Source organism: Homo sapiens, chromosome 2 (genome assembly GCF_000001405.40).
Source record: "Homo sapiens chromosome 2, GRCh38.p14 Primary Assembly".
In the NCBI taxonomy this organism is placed as follows: Eukaryota; Metazoa; Chordata; class Mammalia; order Primates; family Hominidae; genus Homo; species Homo sapiens.
The window spans coordinates 848,590-870,849 of NC_000002.12; the positions used below are offsets into that span (position 1 = coordinate 848,590).

The 22,260-nt window shown below is 50.7% G+C and overlaps 1 long non-coding RNA gene across 2 annotated transcripts in view, besides 2 other annotated features; it reads right to left on the reverse strand.

Annotated features, from left to right (window-relative positions):
* LINC01115 (long intergenic non-protein coding RNA 1115) overlaps window positions 1-19,837 on the reverse strand; it is an 88,587-nt gene extending 68,750 nt beyond the window's left edge. The window contains exons 1-2 of one of the 2 annotated variants that reach the window (NR_033880.3): window positions 19,529-19,837; window positions 5,390-5,626 (exon numbers count right to left, since the gene is read on the reverse strand). This is a non-coding gene — a long non-coding RNA (long intergenic non-protein coding RNA 1115). The remainder of the gene's footprint in view (window positions 1-5,389; window positions 5,627-19,528) is intronic. The other variant, NR_111963.1, reaches the window with a different exon arrangement.
* Window positions 5,806-7,003: an enhancer, noted in NCBI's record as "BRD4-independent group 4 enhancer chr2:850078-851277 (GRCh37/hg19 assembly coordinates)". NCBI's record gives its function as "activates an origin of replication core promoter dependent on BRD2, P300/CBP, MED14 and CDK7 cofactors, and independent of BRD4, by STARR-seq in HCT116 cells {active_cell/tissue: HCT116}" and the evidence as "EXISTENCE:reporter gene assay evidence [ECO:0000049][PMID:35650434]".
* Window positions 19,654-20,853: an enhancer, noted in NCBI's record as "CDK7 strongly-dependent group 2 enhancer chr2:863929-865128 (GRCh37/hg19 assembly coordinates)". NCBI's record gives its function as "activates an origin of replication core promoter dependent on BRD2, BRD4, P300/CBP, MED14 and CDK7 cofactors, with strong dependence on CDK7, by STARR-seq in HCT116 cells {active_cell/tissue: HCT116}" and the evidence as "EXISTENCE:reporter gene assay evidence [ECO:0000049][PMID:35650434]".

Here is a 22,260-nt window from a genome sequence, read left to right on the forward strand (position 1 = left end):
CAGTTTTGTGAGCCCACATTCACCTCTGTGAATCTCTGAGAGGTTGTGTGAGCCCATGATGGCCTCTGTGAAGCTCTGAGCAGTTTTGTGAGCCCAGGCTGGCCTCTGTGCACTGTGCTTCTGCTTCCATCTCACCCCAACGGCTTTTGCCCGACGGTGTTGAAGGACACAGCAGCGTGTCCCAAGGCCACAGCCTCAGTGGTAGGTGGCCGTTGTTTGTTAGTTCAAGTACCAATTTTCATGAAAAGCAAGTCTTATCTCCTTCCGTGAGTTTTCTAGAAAATCACATACTGAATCATTATTTAGCTCTAAACAATTCTGAGACAATAATAAATAAAACAGTGGTCATTTAGGGTCTATTCTGTGTTTCCAGCACCGGGAAGTTCACATGGATTAAGTAATTCTCCACATTCTGAGGTAAGCCCCCTCCCCACACGTTAGATAACACAGCGTCCAAGGCTTAGCCAAGACCACAGCTCAGAATTAGGGTCTAATATAAATCACCAGAGTCCAGGACCTGGTGCTCTTCCTACCATGCTGCACCAACAGCCAGAGCTCACCCTGTCCACAATGACAGCCTGGTGTTTGATGAGTATCCGCAGGTGCACGGAAACACGGGCCACGGGACATTTCCCACGAGTGTTCACAAGGGGAATAAAAACACAGGCTGTGGGGCATTTCCCACGAGTGTTCACAAGGGGAATAAAAACACAGGCTGTGGGGCATTTCCCACGAGTGTTCACAAGGGGAATAAAAACACAGGTTGTGGGGCATTTCCCACGAGTGTCCGCAGGTGCACAGAAACACAGGTCATGGGACATTTCCCTTGAGTGTTCACAGGTGCACAGAAACACGGGCCGTTGGGTGTTTCCCACGAGTGTTCACAGATGCACAGAAACACGGGCTGTGGGACATTTCCCACGAGTGTTCACAAGGGGAATAAAAACACAGGCTGTGGGACATTTCCCACGAGTGTCTGCAGGTGCACAGAAACACAGGTCATGGGTCATTTCCCACGAGTGTTCACAGGTGCACAGAAACACGGGCCGTGGGACATTTCCCACGAGTGTTCACAAGTGGAATAAAAACACAGGCTGTGGGACATTTCCCACGAGTGTCTGCAGGTGCACAGAAACACAGGTCATGGGTCATTTCCCACGAGTGTTCACAGGTGCACAGAAACACGGGCTGTGGGACATTTCCCACGAGTGTTCACAAGGGGAATAAAAACACAGGCTGTGGGACATTTCCCACGAGTGTCTGCAGGTGCACAGAAACACAGGTCATGGGTCATTTCCCACGAGTGTTCACAGGTGCACAGAAACACGGGCCGTGGGACATTTCCCACGAGTGTTCACAAGTGGAATAAAAACACAGGCTGTGGGACATTTCCCACGAGTGTCTGCAGGTGCACAGAAACACAGGTCATGGGACATTTCCCACGAGTGTTCACAGGTGCACAGAAACACGGGCCATGGGACATTTCCCACGAGTGTTCACAAGGGGAATAAAAACACAGGCTGTGGGACATTTCCCACGAGTGTCCGCAGGTGCACAGAAACACAGGTCATGGGACATTTCCCTTGAGTGTTCACAGGTGCACAGAGACACGGGCCGTTGGGTGTTTCCCACGAGTGTTCACAGGTGCACAGAAACACGGGCCATGAGACATTTCCCACGAGTGTTCACAAGGGGAATAAAAACACAGGCTATGGGGCATTTCCCACGAGTGTTCACAAGGGGAATAAAAACACAGGCTATGGGGCATTTCCCACGAGTGTCCGCAGGTGCACAGAAACATGGGCAGTGGGATGTTTCCATGGGTCACCTAATTCCAGCCAAGGTGGACAAACCTTCCTGAACAGAATGGGCGTTGTCAGTGTGGAGAAGTATCCACAGGCTATGGCCGCAGAAGCTGCTGGATGGCTGAGAGGCGTCTCCAGGAAATAAATGGGGTGCCTGTTAGATAGCACAGGATCTCTGAGAGCCCTCTGACTTTACTGAACACACTATGAGCAGCTAGGACATTTTAGTGCAGCTCGCTTGGGCTTGTGAGGGCTGCTTTCTGTCCAGATTCTGACTGCTGTGAAGAGTCATTGGCTGACTCAACAAATATTCCTTGTAATAGTTGGCTCAGGCTTCCATAACAGAAACCCACAGACAAGGTGACTTATATGACATGGATTTATCCTCTCCCAGTTCTGGAGGCCAGAAGCCGAAGATCAAGGTTTGGGCAGGGCTGGTTCCTCCTGAGGCCTCTCTCCTTGGCTTGCAGCTGCTGTCTTCTCTCTGTGTCCTCAGGTGATCATCCCTCTAGGTGCAACTGTGCCCTCATCTCCTCTTCTTATAAGGACACCAGTCATATTGGATCAGGGTCTAGTCTGTGACCTCATTTCAACTCGATTACCTCCTTAAATTCCCTGTCTCCAAGACAGTCACTTCTGAAATGCTGAAGGCTATGACTTTAACCTACGAATGGGGGAAGAAGGTGAATTTGGCCCCTAACATAGATGATAACACAGGTTCATGGTTGAGAGAGATGGAGGAGAGAAATGGACACAGCCCTGGGAGCTCATGTCCACACAGGGAACCTCAGTAAGGGGTGGGGGCCAGTGTGAGGGGTGAAGGGTCAGATGTGAAGCCCCCTGCCTGCCAGGCAGCAAGTGCCCCTGAGTTGTGCTGCCTGGAGGAGGATGCACACTGGGCCACTGTGGCTAGGCGGATCTACCATATTTGAGAACATTGGTCCAAGAGGCCCAATTGTGACCTCTTGTCTGGAGGTGCAGGTGCACCTCCAGTAGCAGGGTGTGTCTCAAACGGGTCTGGCCTCATGCTGGGCAGCGTCCAGCCTCTCCAGCCTCATTCCACCCAGACTCTGCCCTCATGCACAGTTTCTGAACGTAGGCACCGTCATTCACCACTTCCTACCAATGAGGACTCTACGTTCTTCCCCATTGACAACAGAAGGGACATCTTTAATGTGCTCCTGTATCTCTCCTTTGCCTGGAAGAGCCTCCTAAATGTCTGTCTGACATCCCCAAAGGTCTGTCAATGCACAGCTCAGATGCCTCTCTCCTGATCACTTTTCCAACGTGACTTCTCTGGGAAAGACACATCAATTACTTTTTGGCTCCTAAGCATCATGGTTTATTACACAGTTGAGTCATATATTAAAATACTAATAATATGTATGTGCATGTGTGTGTGTGTGAGTGTGTGTGTGTAGGGGCAAGGGGGTTTGGTTGGGAGGAGTGTACATGTGCATGTGTGCGTGTGAGTGCATGTGTACACCTGTGTGTGCATGTGTGCCTGTGTGTGCATGTGTGTACATGTGTGTGCGTGTGTGTGTGTAGGAGCAGCCTGCCCAGTTCATGGGTCGATGGCACCGTGGATGTGGCAGGCTTGGTGTCAGGCCCGTGTGCGACGCACCCTGCTGCTGGAGGTGCACCTGCACCTCCAGATAAGAGGTCAAAAACATCCAGCCCAGCTGCCAGCCTGGGGCCCTGGGCAGAGGCCGGTGGCTAATGTGTTAGACATTCAGCTAACACATTTTGGTAAGGGGTGAAAACAATCTATTGTACCAGTGACTAATCTATTCCTTGCTCATTGTTAATTCAGCTCAACTAAGAAAGTTCATGGTGGCGGGAGGCCCAGGTGAGGGTGGCCATGGGGACCACAGTGGCTTCTGCCTGGAAGGTGTTGATGATAAAAGCCGAACAATAAAATTGTCACAGAGGTTCTTAGCCAAATATGAGTGGCCATGACCCGTAATGCAGCACTGAGGTGTCCTCAGATCCTGTGCTCAAGGTGTTCGGGCTACAGCTTGGTCGTATACATTTTAGGGAGGCAGAAGTTACAGGTTTACACTGGTTCAGCCCAGAAAGGTGGACATCTCAAAGCAAGGGCTCACAGATCACAGGTGGATTCAAAGATTTTTGGAGTGACGATTGGTTGACAGACTTCAGCTTTGCCTAAAGAGTGAAGTCAGCAGAAAGAAATGCTCCAGCAGAAAGATAAGGGCCTTGTGGAAACCAAGATTCACAGTATGGAGATGAAGCCTTCAGGCAGCAGCTTCAGAGAGAATCGATGGCAAATGCTTCCTATAGGACCTTAAAAGATGTCAGGCCTTAGTTAAATCTCTCCTGGATCAGAAAAGGGCCTAGTAAGGGATTCTCCACAGAATGCAGATATTCCCAGCAAAAGACGCCTTTGCAGGGCCATTTCAGAATATGTAAGGGAGATATAGTTGGGGTTAATATATTTTGATTTCCTTCAGGACCTGCTATTTTTCATGTGATGCTATGCCAGGGCCAGGTTGGAGTGGGGAATCTGATTACTATAAGGAGTCTGTTTGGATAGTGTTTTGATGTCTGCTTTAGCGCTAATGCTGGTCAGCTGGTCCTGAACTCCACAGGGAGGAGGGTATAATGTGGTCTGTCCAACCCCACTTCCTGCCATCATGGGCTGAACCGGTTTTTTGAATTTTTAGGGGGGGATCCCCGTGGCAAAGAGGGGGCCCATTCAGTCGGTTGAAGGACTTAGAATTTTATCTATTTTACAAAGGACACCAGAGGCTCTTCTCAAACAGAACTGGCACTGCCTGACAGGCTACCTCTCACGAAGCCAGCATCACAACTGAGCACACGATTTTATTCAGTCCTCTCAGGAAAGAGCAGTTTTGTTTCACAGATGAGAAAACCAAGCCAGGGAGAGCTTCACTTACCTCTCCAAGGTAAATACCTGGTAGCTGCTGAACCGAGAGTTTGGGCAGAGGCTTTTCAAAAAGTCTTGAAGCTCTCCAACACCGTGAGACATGGATGCCCGTGAGGCACCTTCCTACGTACCGAAAGGGAATGTGCAGTGGAGGGGGAATCCCAACATCGTCTTTGGAAAGAGCAAGGGACAGACCAGTCCTGTAGGACCTCCCTCCCACCACCTTCACCCTTCTCTTCTCTCTCTCCTGTCAGCATCTGAGTTCCTTCCTTGGTCTGCCTGCTTCCCCATGGTGGGGGTGGCCCACCCGCCTCAGCCTCTGGCCGTCACTCCCCGGAGCTGGAGCCATGCCCGGCCAGCCGGTCGTCCACCCCTGATTCCTGCTCTTCTAATCCATCCCACACAAACTGCTGCTGGATGGATCTCCCAGAACAAACCCTGTGCTCACACCACGGCCAGACCTAAGGGCTCCTGCAGGCCACAGAAGCGTTTCCCTGGGGAAGGTGGTTGCCACGAGCTTCACAGACAGGCACAATCACATTCATCTCGGAGATACTCGTGTAAGACTCGGTGTTGCTGAAAACACATGTGTGTCTTTGTTAAACTCTGGGATTACAGGGATTCTTTAAGTTCCTAACACATATGATGAATATCCAGGAGAGAATCAAAGACTCACTTGCTCTTTCCAAAGGACCTGATCAGAGTCCTTATCTCCTGGTAAAAGAAACACCATTTGGCAAATGCTGGAACGCTGGTTTACAGGACACCGTGGCTTGAAGGTGCCCCCAATGTTTGTGTGTTGGAAACTTCATCCCCAGAGACACGGCCTTGGGAGGTGGGAACTTAGAGGGGCGAGTGGGCGGTAAGAGCTCTGCCCTCAGGAAGATTCATCCTTCATCGCAGGAGTGGGTTTCTGATTAAAAAAAAAAGGGATAGGGTTCTCTCTCTCTCTCTCACCTCTCTCTCTCTCTCCCTCTCTCCCTCTCCCTCACTATGCCCATTAGGACACACATAGGCTGGAAGAGAAAGGATGAAAAAATACATTCCCTAGAAACAGAAAGCAAATGGGAGCAACGGTGGCCACACTCCTGTCAGATTAAATGGACGTTAAGTCAAACCTGTAAAAAGAGATCAAGAGAGTCATGATGTGAGGTTGAATGGGTGGCTTCATCAAGAGCATGTAACAATTGTAAATACATCTTTACCAGCGTCAGAGCATCTAAGTATATAAGCAAATGTTACTAAATCTGAAGGGAGAAGCAGGCAGCAAGTCAATTAAGTAACAATATTGAGAGGCCTCAGGGGCCCACCGCCAGCAGGGGGCAGACCATCCAGGTGGAAAATCAGTGAAGAAGGATTGGCCTTAAACTACGTGTCAGGCACCTGGGCTCACTGGCCCATTGAGACCATCCCATCCAGCAGCAGCCAGAAACATGCTCTTCTCTAGTGTCCCAGAGCATTCTCCAGGATAGACTGTACACTGAGGCACAAAACAAGTCCTGCCTGATTTAAAGAGACCAGAATTACATCAAATACCATTCCCAGCCACAGTGGTACGAAGCTAGAATCAATAACGGAAGGGATTTCAGAAGATCCGCAAAGGCGGGGAAATTAAACACCTTACTTCTGAATCACCAGTGGGTCCATGAAAACATTATAGAGGACATTTAAATACATCTTGAGACAAATGAAAATGGAAACACAACATATTAAAATCTATGGGACACAGCAAAGCAGTTCTAAGAAGGAAGTTTTTGGCAATAAACACCTACATCAAAAAAGAAGAAAGACGCCAAATAAACAGCCTCACGTTACACCTCACGAAACCCGGGGAAGCCAGAACACACTAAGCCCCCACTTAGCAGAAGGAAGGAATGGTAAAGGCCGGACAAGGAACAAAGGAACCGTCTTCATACCTCACCACGCCGCATTCCTTGTCTATGAATATTGATTATTTATTTTGTAATTGATCCCTGGCAGTGTTCTATCATCATTCCTCCTTCTTTGTGCCTGGAGACCCGATGCTGAGTCACCAACCTGCCTTCTTGTCTGCCTGGTATCGTGTGGCTCCGCCTTTTGCGTTCACTTCCTGGGTCTCATTTCCTGAGGATTTCCTGTGTGGAACACACACTTGGGTTTTGTTTTGCAATCTCACAAAATATACTTTCTTCATTAGATCAATGAATGGAAGCATGGTTAACTATTTCGTGTGATACAGTGTCTTCCTTTGGTCCTTTGGTCACAGAAGGAGGAAAACGGTCCTCCCTGACTGTCCGGCCCCTCTCAAAACTTCACGTGGGACACTAGGTCAGGGTGGGGGCTGAGGGGTTTCCACACCAACCACTCTCCATCTCCCTAAATACCAGCTGGGTGTCCTACAACTTAACTCAAGTCTGATGCTTTCTACCTGGGGTTAGCCCAGGCCCCTGGGCTAAAGACTCAGCCCCACAAGGTTGCCCCTCTTCAGATGCCACTCCCAGGATCAGTGTCCCTGGTTATCCCCACGTCTGTACAACTTGGCTCCAAACTGGGTCATCAGCTGTGTCACACAAGCACTACACTAACGTCAGGTGTTAACAGGAGAATGTGGGTGTGGGACACGGAAACACGCTTTCCAATCTGTGCAACTTTTCAGTAAATCTAAAACTATTCTAAACTTGTTTTAAAAAGTGTACTCTTGAAGGTGCTATAGGATAGATAAAACACTTCAGAAATATCAATGAATATACAGTCTATTACAAATTGATGTAAAATTTTTAATTCTTTTTTTGTAAGCTTGCTACAAAATTGTAAATGAGCTAGTGGTAAGCTTTGGGTTTATCATTATAACATACTGACAGAATCTCATTTTATTGCTACTTTTTGCTTCCTGTCTCCAGAGGCTGACAAAAGAAAAAAGACGAATTAAAACTCTTGAAGGTACGTAATTTTCCATACATCACCAAGCAATAAAAACATCAGCAAAAAATTAAAGATTGCAATTTAGTCTAGCTTTATAACTAATACATGAGAAGTGCATTTAAGCAATTTAAATTAATAGCATGTCACAGCAATAAAGCTGTTGCTTTTTTTCTAAGTCAAATATATACATTTTATAATAGTGCTTAGCTTTTTAGCATTCTAATATACAACTTTTAAAATCACTGTGGAATTGCATCCAGATAAGGCTGCATTTCTCCTCCCCCAGGAACTTCCTGCTCTCCTCCCTGCCCAGCCCTGTGCCCCTCACCCTGGGGCCCCAGGCTCTTCTCTTCTCTCTGGCACTGATTTTCTGTGACCTTTGCTCTTCTATCCTATCCTTGGGCTACAATTTACTAGATTTATTGAATTAAAATTTTTCTCTCCTGCAAAAGCTAACAGGTCAAGGAAAAGAAGGAATGCTCAGGCAAGTCTAAGTTCAGTGTGCTTGTGTTTCTCTCTGCAGAGGCTCACACGTAGCACACACTGCACACGGCACGGCCGTGTGGACTCAGCCCTCACCACCACCTCGTCCTTGGGCCTCAGAGGAGCAGCAGGACCTCCCCCCAGCCTGAGGAGAGTTAAGGACTCTTGTCCAAGAACATTTCAAAAAACTGAGTTTTAAAGATCGAATTGGCTGCTATTCATGATGCATGGACTGGCAACGAACCATCCAAGTATACCATTCACAGCGTACCACCCATACCACCCACAGCTTACTATCCAAGCATATCATCCACAGCATATCACCCACAGCATACCATCCAAGCATACCATCCACAGCATATCACCCACAGCATACCATCCAAGCATACCATCCACAGTATACCATCCACAGCATACCACCCACAGCATACTATCCAAGTGTACCATCCAAGCGTACCACCCACAGTGTGCCATCCACAGCACAGATAGGGCTTCCCCAGGCAATGCCCATGGTCTGTTTCTGCAGGCAGCTTGGGCGGGAAGGAGGAGGTGACCTGCTGCAAGCTGGCAGGAAATCGGGTTCATCCATTTGTGCTGCTGTAACAAATGCCAAGGATGGACAGTCGCCAACGACAGAGATTGATCTCTCCTAGTACTGAGGCTGTGAAGCCCAAGATCGAGGCACCTGCAGGGTCAGTGTCTGAGGAGGGCCTGGGCTCTGTTTTCAGGAGGGCGCCTGGAGCTGTGTCTCACATGGAGGAAGACAGGAATGGCCAGGGCCGCTGGCTTCAGCCTCTCCTATGAAATCACTAATCACACTCACAAGGGCTTCACCCACTGGCAGGACTTGATCCCCTGTGAAGAGCCCCCTTAATGCCATCACGTTGGTGCTTAAGTTTCAACACAAGGATGTGGGGGGCACATTCAGACCACAGCAGATAACATCAGTAGCATTCATGTTTGACATGGTTTAGCTGTGTCCCACCCAAATCTCACCTCAAATTGTAAAAATCCCCACATATTGTGAGAGGGACCTGGTAGGAGGTGATGGAATCATGAAGGCAGGATTCCCTCACACTGTACTCATCGTAGCGGATAAGTCTCACGAGATCTGATGGTTTTATAAAGGGTAGTTCCCCTGCACACACTCTCTTGCCTGCCGCCACATAAGACATGGCTTTGCTCTTCCTTCCTCTTCCACCATGATTGTGAGGCCTCCCCAGCCATGCAGAACTGTGAGTCCATTAAACCTTTTTCCTTTATAAATTACTCAGACTTGAGGCTGCTTTATTAGCCCAGGACAGACTAATACAATGTTCCTTTCCTCTTGCGGGCTAAAGCCCAGGGATGTTCTCATCCTGCCAGCTCGAGGTGGCTGGGCCCCTCCTGATGGGTGGCTGTGAATCTCCTGTTTTTGGAAAGTTGACCTGTTTTTAAGCTCAGTTTGGTGACCTGGCACCTGGCACAGGTGACTTCAATCTGCCTAGTCTGCCCAGGTGGGGCCTAGTGACAGGAACTCAGTATAAAACAACGGCCCCCTGTAAACCGGAACACTCTAATGCGTGAAGTAAAACACTCCCTTGCAGCTGACGTTTAGGGAGGCAAACCAGGCCCCAGAAGTGACATTTCATTTTGCTGCTGGCATTGAGACCACGTATTCAAGCTTCAGGTTGAAAATTCAATTTTAAATGTACGCCCTATGTCATTTATGGCACTGTTATCAGAAGACTCTGGGTCTCCCCCTGAGGTTACACTTTCCTCATCTCCTTCCAGAAATCCAATGTTTAATGCTTTGAGTGTGAGGATACAGTAAAGAGGGGTGGAGACAACAAAAATAACAAATTGTGCTCCCTGCTGTTGAGGGGTTTGAGGTGTGGTTGTCCTTTCTTAAGGGAAAATTTTGCCAAGATATGCAGCTTGTGATTTGCAGCTCTGTGTGTGTGTCTGTGTGTGTGTGTGTGTGAAGGCTGCCATGACAAAGCACCCCAGAAATTCATCCTCTCACATCCCAGGGCTGGAAGTCCCAGATCCAGGTGCAGGCAGGGCTGCTTCCTCCTGAGGCCTCCGTCCTCAGCCTGTAGACACCGACATCCCCCAGGGCCTCACATCCTGAGGTCTCCCTCCTCGGCTTATAGACACCGACATCCCCCGGGGCCTCACAGGGTCCTTCCTCTGTGTGTGTCTGTGTCCTGATCTCCTCGTCTCATAAGGACACCATCCTGTGGGATTGGGGCCCACCCTCATAACTTCCTATTACCTTAATCCCCTCTTTCTAGGCCCCGTCCCTAACTGGAGCCCCATTCTGAGACACTAGGGATTAAGACTTCAGCCTATGGATTTGGGGACATGATTCACCCTGCAGGACTCTGGCTTTTAGATGAAGGCTGAGAATTTGTTTCCTAAAATGTGCCTCACCGCAGGCTCCGCACTGTGATATCTGCGTTTATCGCTTCAAACATAGGAACAGTACAGCTAAGTAACAGCTGCCACTAAATCGTTAAAACTCAAGCCAAAGTGCTCTGTCATTCTTAAAACAGGTATTTTATACACAGAAGTGTAATTTCTGGTCCCCTCTATTAGTATTACTGGCTAATTCCTTCTGGAAATTGACTTATTTAGAACCAATGGTGGAAAGCGTGGAACAGAAAAACCAGCAGCTTGGCAGGTATGGTGTGGTTTACCCTTTAGCAATACAGTTTTCTCAACCAGACAAAAAAAAAGGGATGACATTAATGCTGAATATATTTACCAAAAGCTAAAATTAATCCTTTATCTTCTTTGCATATATGTGTATTTATATTAAACTCAATGTTAGCACAAAGGCAAATACACTGAATAAAGTATTAATTTTTAAAGTGGTTGGTGCATATTTTTCTCCTAAAAATAATAAATACATGTGCAGTTTTTAGACTTATCAAAGTCTGCCAAACAGAAAGGAAGATGTTTGCATATTTCTCCACTATCAAAGGATTATCTCAACAACACCAAATGGGAGAGTGTGTAGCTCTCAAAGCGCCCACGAGCCTGTCATCTCCCACTTAAATATCTTCCCGTGAAACAGACAGAAGCATTTGAAAAGAGATCCTTCCACTGCCACTGTGAGTTGGATCGAATTCCCATACATTTGGGAGAGAAAAAAAAACTCAATTTTATCTGGATTTAAAAATCCAACGCTCACAGCACAGGCACAGTCAACATAACATCTTTAAGCGCACCGTCTACACTGGCTGTGATTTCACTGCCCCTGTGGCCTACACCTGAGTCAGGCTGTTTATTCCCTCACCGGGAGCCGGACGGACTGTGCTGCCTCCAGCTGCTCTGGCTTAGAAATGTGCCAACAAGAGGAAAAATCGCCCAAAACGCCACCTTTAAGGGATCCTGAGAGAGCCATGGACCTTCATGAAGAAACACTTTTCCCCAAAACAATAAAAAGGTATTGACCCATTGCTTTTTGTCATGAATGTTCTTTCAAAATGCTGCAGGAATGAAGCTCTGAGTAACGGAATCCTGATATCAATTCTAACAGGAATAGCTAAATAGTTGAGGGTTTTCAAAATCAATGGGAAAAATTTATAAGATGAGAATCTTGTTACAAAGAAAAAAAAATAGGGATCTAAATGTTGAGAAACATTGGAAGGTCTCGCAGTCCAAAACCTCGACATCAGAACTGACTGAACATTTGTACAAAGTGAAGTTCCAGGAGCTGCCCCTTTAGAAAGGCGTCCTCCCTCCCGGAGGAGCTGTCTCCACACTGCACCCTAATGCCGGCCTTCCCCAGCGCCTGTCTCTGCCAGAAGCCTCTCCTTCACAGCACTGCACCTTTGCAGCCTGCACCCACCCTCTCCCCTGGACCCCCACCCACACCCTCCACCCTCTCCCCTCCATGGCACTGGACCGTTCCTCTGGCCCTCAAGGTCCCCTGCTCACCTGCCCCCTCCACACCAGCCCCCGGCTCTGGGGCAGGAGCACGATTGTTCATTGATGTGTCTGGGACCACTGACCACATCTGACGCACAGTGCCACCAGGCGTCGCCAAGCATCCCCAAGCACCTGCGGAGTGCTCATCCCTTAGGGACTTGTTTCCTTACCTGTTACAGGAGACCCAAGAAACTTCAACAGTCCTGAGATTCCATTAGAAACAACATTTCCCTAAAAGGGGGCACGTGGGGGTTCTGAGAGTCCCATCATCAGTTACTGGAGCCCCCACCTTATTCCTCAGCCCCCCACCTTATTCCTCAGCCCCCACCTTATTCCTCAGCCCCCACCTTATTCCTCAGCCCCCACCTTATTCCTCAGCCCCCACCTTATTCCTCAGCCCCCCACCTTATTCCTCAGCCCCCCCATTCCTCAGCCCCCACCTTATTCCTCAGCCCCCCCATTCCTCAGCCCCCACCTTATTCCTCAGCCCCCACCTTATTCCTCAGCCCCCCCCTTATTCCTCAGCCCCCCCCTTATTCCTCAGCCCCCACCTTATTCCTCAGCCCCCACCTTATTCCTCAGCCCCCACCTTATTCCTCAGCCCCCACCTTATTCCTCAGCCCCCACCTTATTCCTCAGCCCCCCACCTTATTCCTCAGGGCAGAAATGAAAACATGGTTTTCCATTTCCCTTTTTGTTACTCAGGTCACATAACAATCACTTATATGGCAAAATTTCAGATGCAATTAGAGAGTTTTCAATACTTCCCCCATTGAATTTCAGATTGGTGAGGTTTTTGTTCAAATTTTCCCTCAAAATTAGTTGTTTAAAGATTTGCGCTAGCTTGGTACACTCACATGTCCAAACATTTACAGGAATGTCTGTGCATTCCTGCGCTCTCTTGAGAGAGAAGCAACGAAGAACCTGAACGATAGAAATTAACATGCACATGTAAAAGAAACCGGCATCTTTATGCCACGCTCAGAACGCTGGAGGAGCCTGGATTGTCACCTGTAACTCAACAAACCTCACTCCTTCCTGGGAAAAGCGTCTCCAAATGGCACCAGCATGGGACCAATCGCTCAGGTGCAAAAAAAAAAAAAAAAAAAAAAATACGACTTTCCCTGCACACCCCACCTGCAGGTGCCATTGACTGCTTCATTCAGACAATCCCCCGATCCAGCCCGCCTCATGGCTCCACCAGCCCAGGGCACCCTCCTCACAGCTACCTGGACCAGGTGGAGCCTCCCTGAGGGTCTCTGTTTCCTACACACACGCGCGCAGGAACCCAGGTGAGTGAACGTTAAGTGTGGTTTGAATTGTGCCACTCGAGTGCTCAAGCCCCTCCCAGAGTTCTCCGAGACATCAGCCCCTTCACACCCCCCACGCCTCCCCCTTCTCGGCTTCCACTCCTCGCAGTGGCGGCTGCTGAACCTCCCTTCTCCCACCCCCGGGCGTGTTCTTCCCACTGTTACTGAGGGGCCAGCTCCCTGGATTCTCAGGTTTCCTCTCCTCCAACATCCCAAGCACTGAATGGGAGTTTGAGACACTTAAATGCTCTCCAAGCCAGGCATGCAGGCAGCTGTGTGTCTCACCCACACGCTGACATAACTGATGAGGGCCAGGACATCAGCCGAGACAGCGGGTGCACGGAAACCCACGAGAAAATGCTGGGCTTTCCTCCAAGTGTGAAACCCTGGATGCGTTCTGAAATCCCCAAGGATGCTGAGAGCCACAGACGTGTAGACGGAAAGAAATCAAACCATTCGCGTTGCTGATGGTGGGAGGAAGTGCGCTGCAGCCCGCACCTGCCTCCCCTGATGCCGATAGCAGGACCGGCACCCTCGTTCTCTGCAGTCACACTCCCCATGTGAAAGCGTCTCCTGTGTTCTTTCTTCCAGGATGCCATTTTCAGGCCGGCTCCTGCACAGGCAGTGCGGTGTGGTCACTGTGCTCCACTGATCCACTGAACGGGGTTTTATAAAAAGGGCGTGCGACTCAGGTGGGCAATGACCTGGCATCCCAGCCTCCAGGAAGAGCCCTTCTCCGTGTTTCAACACCCGAGCGATACAGGGATGGAGCGATGCCACTCTCTTTGGATGTTCTCCCCATGTTTCTTCTGCTGTAGAGTTTGTCACAAAGTCCCCAGTACCCTTTGGGAATAAGGTAACTCTGCCGTCTGCACCCCATCTATCCCTCAAAGCTTCAGCCAAAGGGAACATCCTCTGAGGAGTCTCCCCCAACGTCCACTCCCAGGGGGACAGCGGCCTCGAGCATCCAGCCTGCAAAGGCGTCCCCACCCCACCACAGCCACTGGTGGCCAAGGATGCTTCAGTGGTGATGAGTGCCTGGGGAGACAGGGTCTCAGTAAACACCTGTTGAATATAACTCAACACAGTGCAGGTGCAGAGGCCCACACCTCCCCAGCCCTCCACCTCCCTCCCTCCCTCGATTCCTTCCTTCCTCCCTCCACCTTCTCTTTCCTTCCTGCCACTTGTCCCTTTGCTTCCTTTCTCCTCTCCTACGGACACCAGGACCCAGTTGTTCAACAGCAGAAGGGAACTCCACCTTCCGACTTTTCCACACAACACAGCTCCTGCATCTCAGAGCTCCAACTCCATCAAAGGCCTCAAGAAAGGAGCTCGGGGTGGCCAGGGTGCTCCTGCTCCAGGCATGCCAGATGGTTTGCCAACAAACAGGATCTTTCAAACTTTCAAACCCCACTCCCTCATCTTAGAAATGACTGCACTTCACCTGGGCTACCTGCCCTGTTTCAGGGCAGTTGCAGAGCTGGTCACCAGGTCATGAACCTGAGCTTTGCCTTCATTTAACCTCTGGGAGCATCAGGTCCCTTTACTGCAAATGTGGATAAGAGCCATTCCTACTCAGGTCAGGGTTAATCATCACAAAACCCTTTGGAAATTTCCCATTGTTCAAGAGAAATTGGACCAAGCCAGTCAAGTGCACTAGGCTACACGAGACCACTAAGTGGACCAGGCTTATGCGAGATCACTGCAGCAGAGGAGAGAGGTGGATCAGGCTGTGTGAGACCACTGCAGTGGAGAGGTGGATCAGGCTGTGTGAGACCACTGCAGTGGAGAAGAGAGGTGGATCAGGCTGTGTGAGACCACTGCAGCAGAGGAGAGGTGGATTAGGCTATGGGAGACCTCACCCCCCCCCCAGCCCCCACTGCCCCCAGTCGTCCTTCCCTGGTGCGCAGCCCAGGCCTGTGGGTCCAGCCTCACCCCCACCCTGCCCCCCAGCCGTCCTTCCCTGGTACACAGCTGGGGCCTGCAGGTCCAGCCTCACCCTTCCTGCCCCCAGCCATCCTTCCCTGATACACAGCTGGGGCTTGTGGGTCTAGCCTCACCCTCCCTGCCCACAGCCATCCTTCCCTGGTGCAAAGCCCAGGCCTGCGGGTCCAGCCTCACCCTCCCTGCCCCCAGCCATCCTTCCCTGGTGCAAAACCCAGGCCTGCAGGTCCAGCCTCACCCTCCCTGCCCCCAGCCATCCTTCCCTGGTGCACAGCCCGGGCCTGGGGGTCTAGCCTCGCCCTCCCTGCCCCCAGCCATCCTTCCCTGGTGCACAGCCCAGGCCTGCGGGTCCAGCCACACCCTCCCTGCCCCAGGCGTCCTCAGTTCCCGTCTGAGCTCAGTGTCCTGTCTCTGCTGTGAAGCTGTGTGGCCATCGGCAAGGCCATGTGGGGACTGAGAGTGGAAGTGGCTGCCATTCCCAGTTGAGGGCCAGACGCTCAGGCCGACCCTCACCCCGAGAGCCCTGGTGGGTTCTTCTGGGTCCTTAAGTGGAATCCCAGACTGTCCCCAGCATTCAGGTCACTTGCTGATTTTACTTGTTAAACTCATGGCTGCCTTTTGAAACTAGGCCTGTTGTTTCTTTTCCAGTGAAGAGAAGCCAGCGTAGGGTAGGGAGAGAAGAGATGCCTCAGGGGTGAGGCAGGTACCAGAGAGTGTGCAGGACCCCAGGAGCCCCGTGCAGCCCCGGCCCTCGTGGGCTGATGTGAGAGTCAGGAAGGGTCTGAGGTGAAGGAGCGAGGGGCCCCAGCCTCCAGGCCTAGGGACGCAGGTGTGACAACACCAGCCAGCTCCAAAGCCTGGGGGCCAGGTAGGTGGCGTGACCGTGAGACGGTCCAGTGCCTGTGTGTGGCTCCCACCAATGCCCACTTCCTAATTTCCCAGACTAGTGGCTTTGTCACTGACACAGACAAGGGCCAGAGGCAGGCGTGGCAAAGATTACGGCGCTGAGGTGGGAGATGACCCTGAGGGTCCCAGCAGGCCCAATGCAACCACACGAGCCCTTGAAGGCAGAGGTCAGCTGCAATCGGAGCAATGGGGATGGGGATGTGGCTGACTTTCAAGGAGAGGAGGGGCTGTGAGTCCAGCAGGTAGCTGGCCACGGACCCAGGGGGAAGCAGGAAGAGCCACTCCCCAAGCCACCAGGTGGCCCTGCCCACACCTGGATTCATTTAACCCCATGAGACCGTGTCGGACTCCTGCCCTCCGGAATTGCCAGCTAATACAGTTGTGTTGTTCAAACCACTGAAGTTCATGGTCAGATGTTATGACAGCAGAAATAGCCTGATACACTGTGAGAAAGTGGAGAGCACACGACGCCTCGGGAAAACACCTCCTTGGCTGGGTTTTGCTAAAGCAAAAATAGAAATCCAATTTAGTCATGAACTTACAGTTTTGAGAGAAGCCATAAATATAAATTTTATATGAAATACTACAATTTTTAAATGCTGGGGGAAAGCTTTAGGATAAATTAGTCATGATAAGAATCAAACTAAACACATTTGCAGGTAGACTCTTCTGACAGGCCATTGCTTATCAAAACCAGTCAGTCTTCTGACACTGGTTTCAACCTCTGTATCACTCCTGGATTTTTCTCCTCTCAGGAGACACTATTTTCATTTAAATGCACATAGAGCCTCCTCTATGAAGCACTTCTTTTTGTAACTGGGCATAGCTGTCCAGGAACTGGAAGCTCTCTTAGAGAAGGTTCTAATGTCCTAGGAATTAAAATACTTATCACACTTCGAAGAATATTTAGGAGCAATCGCAGGGGTCTGAGGCGGTGTGTGCTGTTTATGGGAGGAGGGCAGGGCAGAGCCTCCGGGAGGCTGCAGAAAGGAGAAGTCGTCGGAACTCCAAGCATCAGGTGAGCCGCGGCTGGAAAGAAATGCGGATCCCAGATCTTACGGATGCATCTACTTGAAGACACTCACCTAACACGTTTTAGTAAGCATACTGATCAGAACTGATTTAAACGGGTAACATTTTGAGTAATTATCACATCTGGCAGATGTCATATTGCTCATGCCCCTGAAGATGAGCCAGCATTCTCTTCCTGCACACAGCATCCCTCCCCGGGATCTCTTCGCCTCCCTGAGGGCAGTTGCTGTTTAGATAAACACCTACATGCTTTGAGGCCTAAACACACATACGCTGGAAATGACCTGCTTCCAACCTGTCCACCTATTCTCTTGACCTACTGGCATTAACAATCACTGAATTTTCACTACTGTGGAGCAGGGTCATGAATTAAACCCTTGGCAGGAGCCAGCGTTTACTTTAGGTCCAGCCCTGCTCTGCAAATCACAAAGGCTGCAGCAATCCTGAGCCATTTCCTGGTTACCTGCGGTTGATTTCCAGCTGGAAACGCATCTCAGCTCAAAGTTCCCATCTTTCCCATTCCTCACTCTCTCCGCAGTCTCTCTATTTTTCTCCTGGGCCAGTGAACAAGGCTATTCCCATCCCAGGAGGGAGAACCTCATGGCCTCTGCCCCTCCCCCGTCTCTCCCTGTGGTTGGTGGGAAGAAGAGGGAAGTCACACTCACCCAGCCCCTCCCTGCATCCTCCACAGTCCCCTGGGGCGGCCTCACTACTGACATCATCAACGTCGCTCCAGCCGGGACCGAGGCCGCACGCACAACCTCAGCGGAGCTTCTCCCCTTCATCCACGATGTCTACATTTTAGATTGTTTGATTTTAGCCACACATTAATTTTTGGCAAGTTCTTGCTAGATAGCCTAATAAATTAGAACTGATAAAACCTGAGGTGTTCTGACTAAAACCTGAGGTGACTGATGCTAGGTGGTGGGAAGATGCGTCTTCTCCCCAGAGTCCCCACCGCAATGGGGACCTGAGGCTGCTGCGTCTTCTCCCCAGAGTTTCCACCACAATGGGGACCTGAGGCTGCACAGGTCCCCTCAGGCCCCATACCCTGACACCCACCTGTCCACCTTCCTCTCTGCCTCCAGCCCTTTCCTCTCTGCTCTCTAGGATCTCCACTTAAGATTCTCCAGTTAGCATTCTTCCTCCAGAACAACCTTCCCTGGCAACTCCTCGCTCTTCCCAAGACCACCTTAGGGACCTTCGTACACAGCTCTCCGGGAGGGAGCTCCCAGCAGGCAGCAGCTGAAGGCCTGGCAATCCTCCCATTCTCTCACCCACAGGCCCCAGACACTGCAGGGTGAGAACTTGTGATTATCTTCACTTGGATCCCAAACCCTCAGCAAAATGGTTAGTGCCTAACAGGCGCTTTTGAAAGAGGAGTGAGCAGATAAAGAAAGGAATGTGTTTACTAAGGAAAGAGCCTGGTGTGTCTGCAGGTCACACACCCCAAAGTGCCACAATCTGTCTCTGGTGGAGGCTTCGACGGTGTGTTCTTCAAGTTCATTTACCAGGATTCCTCTGGCATTTTATTGGCCCTATTTCATGAGTAGTGAAACATGAAATAAAATGTCTATTTCCTGAGTAGTGAAACATGAAATAAAATGTGAAATGGACAGGAGATGTTGTGGGGCCCGCCCTCCCCACCTGCAGGGACCTCTCATCCCAGGCCTGTTTCACGGGGAAGCCCTGACAACAGTTATGCCACTAAGACGCAGCACGTAGGCGTGCCGTCCAGCTCAGGGATTCAAAGCGTGTGACACACGGCACTGTCACTGTGCGAGCACCTCTCACTTGTAACTGGATTCACATGCATCTATGAAGACTGTCTCCACTCAGCACAAAAACTGCACTTTTTATTTATCCATGTATTGCCCCTTTTTCCACAGAATCTTTTTTCCTGTTTCAATGAGCACTAGTTGCTGTTAAAATGAAGGTCAAATGCATCTTTCCTAAGGTTTTCATTAAACTTAAACATGTGGTGCAGAGTGTCCACAATTTAAAATTATGTGAAACCAATTTCCCTAGATACTGACTTTAACTTGAAAGAAGAGAGCTCACCCCATTTGATTTTCATGCAGGAAATGGAATTGAGAGATCAGGTACTCCCCAGTAATTGCTTTCCAAAGCAGCTGTGAGAAGCACCCCCGAGTGTGGAGAATAATTCTCAATGCACACAGCTACTCTCAAATCAAATACTGATCAGGTTGCAAAAACTAATTTTGAGTCCAACTCTATTCCTAAATAAAAAGAAGAGCGTTCACATGTGTCAGAATTTTGGCAGCGTATGCTCCTTCAGTCTGGGAGCTGATAAATCTCACCTGGTCAAGTGGGAGCCTCTGGTGTCTGAGACGGCAATGGGTGCGCCCTTTGTCTAGACGGCAGGAGCAGGAGCCAAGATTTAAACGTCAGTGCCTCGATCCAATTTCCATGTAAATACACTGCCTGCGAGGTGCGTGGACTCGGGAGCTCTGACGTAAACGCGCTGCCTGCGAGGTCGGTGGACTCGGGAGCTCTGAGGTAAACGTACTGCCTGCGAGGTGCGTGGACTCGGGAGCTCTGACGTAAACGCGCTGCCTGCGAGGTCCGTGGACTCGGGCGCTCTGACGTAAACGCGCTGCCTGCGAGGTGCGTGGACTCGGGAGCTCTGATGTAAACGCGCTGCCTGCGAGGTGTGTGGACTCGGGAGCTCTCACGTAAACGCGCTGCCTGCGAGGTCGGTGGACTCGGGAGCTCTGAGGTAAACGCGCTGCCTGCGAGGTGCGTGGACTCGGGCGCTCTGACATAAACGCGCTGCCTGCGAGGTCCGTGGACTCGGGCGCTCTGACGTAAACGCGCTGCCTGCGAGGTGCGTGGACTCGGGCGCTCTGACCTAAACGCGCTGCCTGCGAGGTCCGTGGACTCGGGAGCTCTGATGTAAACGCGCTGCCTGCGAGGTGTGTGGACTCGGGAGCTCTCACGTAAACGCGCTGCCTGCGAGGTCGGTGGACTCGGGAGCTCTGAGGTAAACGCGCTGCCTGCGAGGTGCGTGGACTCGGGCGCTCTGACGTAAACGCGCTGCCTGCGAGGTCGGTGGACTCGGGAGCTCTGAGGTAAACGCGCTGCCTGCGAGGTGCGTGGACTCGGGAGCTCTGACGTAAACGCGCTGCCTGCGAGGTCCGTGGACTCGGGAGCTCTGATGTAAACGCGCTGCCTGCGAGGTGCGTGGACTCGGGAGCTCTCACGTAAACGCGCTGCCTGCGAGGTGCGTGGACTCGGGAGCTCTGAGGTAAACGCGCTGCCTGCGAGATGCGTGGACTCGGGCGCTCTGACGTAAACGCGCTGCCTGCGAGGTGCGTGGACTCGGGAGCTCTCACGTAAACGCGCTGCCTGCGAGGTGCGTGGACTCGGGAGCTCTCACGTAAACGCGCTGCCTGCGAGGTCGGTGGACTCGGGAGCTCTGAGGTAAACGCGCTGCCTGCGAGGTGCGTGGACTCGGGCGCTCTGACGTAAACGCGCTGCCTGCGAGGTCGGTGGACTCGGGAGCTCTGAGGTAAACGCGCTGCCTGCGAGGTGCGTGGACTCGGGAGCTCTGACGTAAACGCGCTGCCTGCGGGGTGTGTGGACTCGGGAACTCTGCAGCTTCTTTCAGCTCCAGTTTCCTTGTGGACAAATGAAATGTAGTAGCTCCCACTCATCCTCACGGGGCACATTCCAGACCCGGTGGGTGTCTGGGACTGTGGATGGCACTAAACCCGACGGCCGTCAGTCAGAACTTGTTTATCCTTAAGTCTTCCACCCACACATTCAATACCTGATATGGTTTGGACTTGTGTCCCCACCCGAATCTCATGTTGAATTGTAGTCCCCAGTGCTGGAGGTGGGACCTGGTGGGAGGCGACTGGATCATGGGGGTGGATTTGCCCCTGGAGGTGGGACCTGGTGGGAGGTAACTGGATCATGGGGGCGGATTTCCCCCTTGCTGTTCTCACGAGGGTGAGTGAATTCTCAGGAGATCTGGTTGTTGAAAATTGTGTGGTGCCGACCTCCTGTGTTCTTCCTGTGGTTAAAACTTTTGCAGTTTGAGGTGCAACAGCAAAACTAGCAGGAATTTCTTTTTCTTTCTATGCAATTTCAGAGATAGAAGATTTGTTCTTATGGTAGATATTAGCAACCTCAGCATACAATTTTTTCCTTCCTTCTTAAGTAGAGAACTTTCACCTTTTCACTTAAAGGGAGCACTTTACAGCTTCTCTTTGCCATCTACAAGCTGCCAGCCTCACTGCTCTTCTGATCTGGAGCCCTTGGTAAGCAAAATAAGGGCTGCCTGAACTCAGGCACTTGTGATCTGCATCAGTGGACCTGCTGACCCAGGAGAGCTACTAAGCCACTAACAGGCATGTGGTGTGCACAGCATGGATCTGCTGGGCAAAGAGATGACCCGGTCCTGGTCAGGATGGAGCAGGACAGTGCAAGATTTAGTCATAATGCTCAGAATAGCATGAAAGTTTGAGACCAGTCTGGCCAACGTAGTGAAACCCCATCTCTACTAAAAAAAAGTACAAAAATTACCTGGGCGTGGTGGTGGATGCCTGTCATCCCAGCTACTTGGGAGACTGAGGTAGGCGAATTGCTTGAACCTGGGAGGTGGAGGTTGCAGCGAGCCGAGATCCTGCCACTGTCTCAAAAATAAATAAAAATAAATAAATAATAAAGCCTATAGAAGCAGTCTTTCTGCAGCCCCAGGTCCTGCTCACTCATGTCCTCATCCAGAAAACATTCTGGAGCAGCCACTTCGTGTCTGCACGGTGCAGGCAGGGGTGCAGCTAGGGTGCAGGTGTGCAAGGCATCCACACCCCGCAGGATGGTGCAGACACAGACGTCAGCCACTTCCCCACGGGCCACCTGCATGACTGCTCATGGCAGGCTCCTAAACTGGAGTCTCTTCTCCGCAAAAATTGCATGTGCCTGCCTAGATCTTAACAGGAAAAATAATAAAACTTGCTGGTCAAAGTTAATTTAAAATGTCTCCATTAGTGTAGAGGACACTCACTCTCCACCTGCTTTATTTATC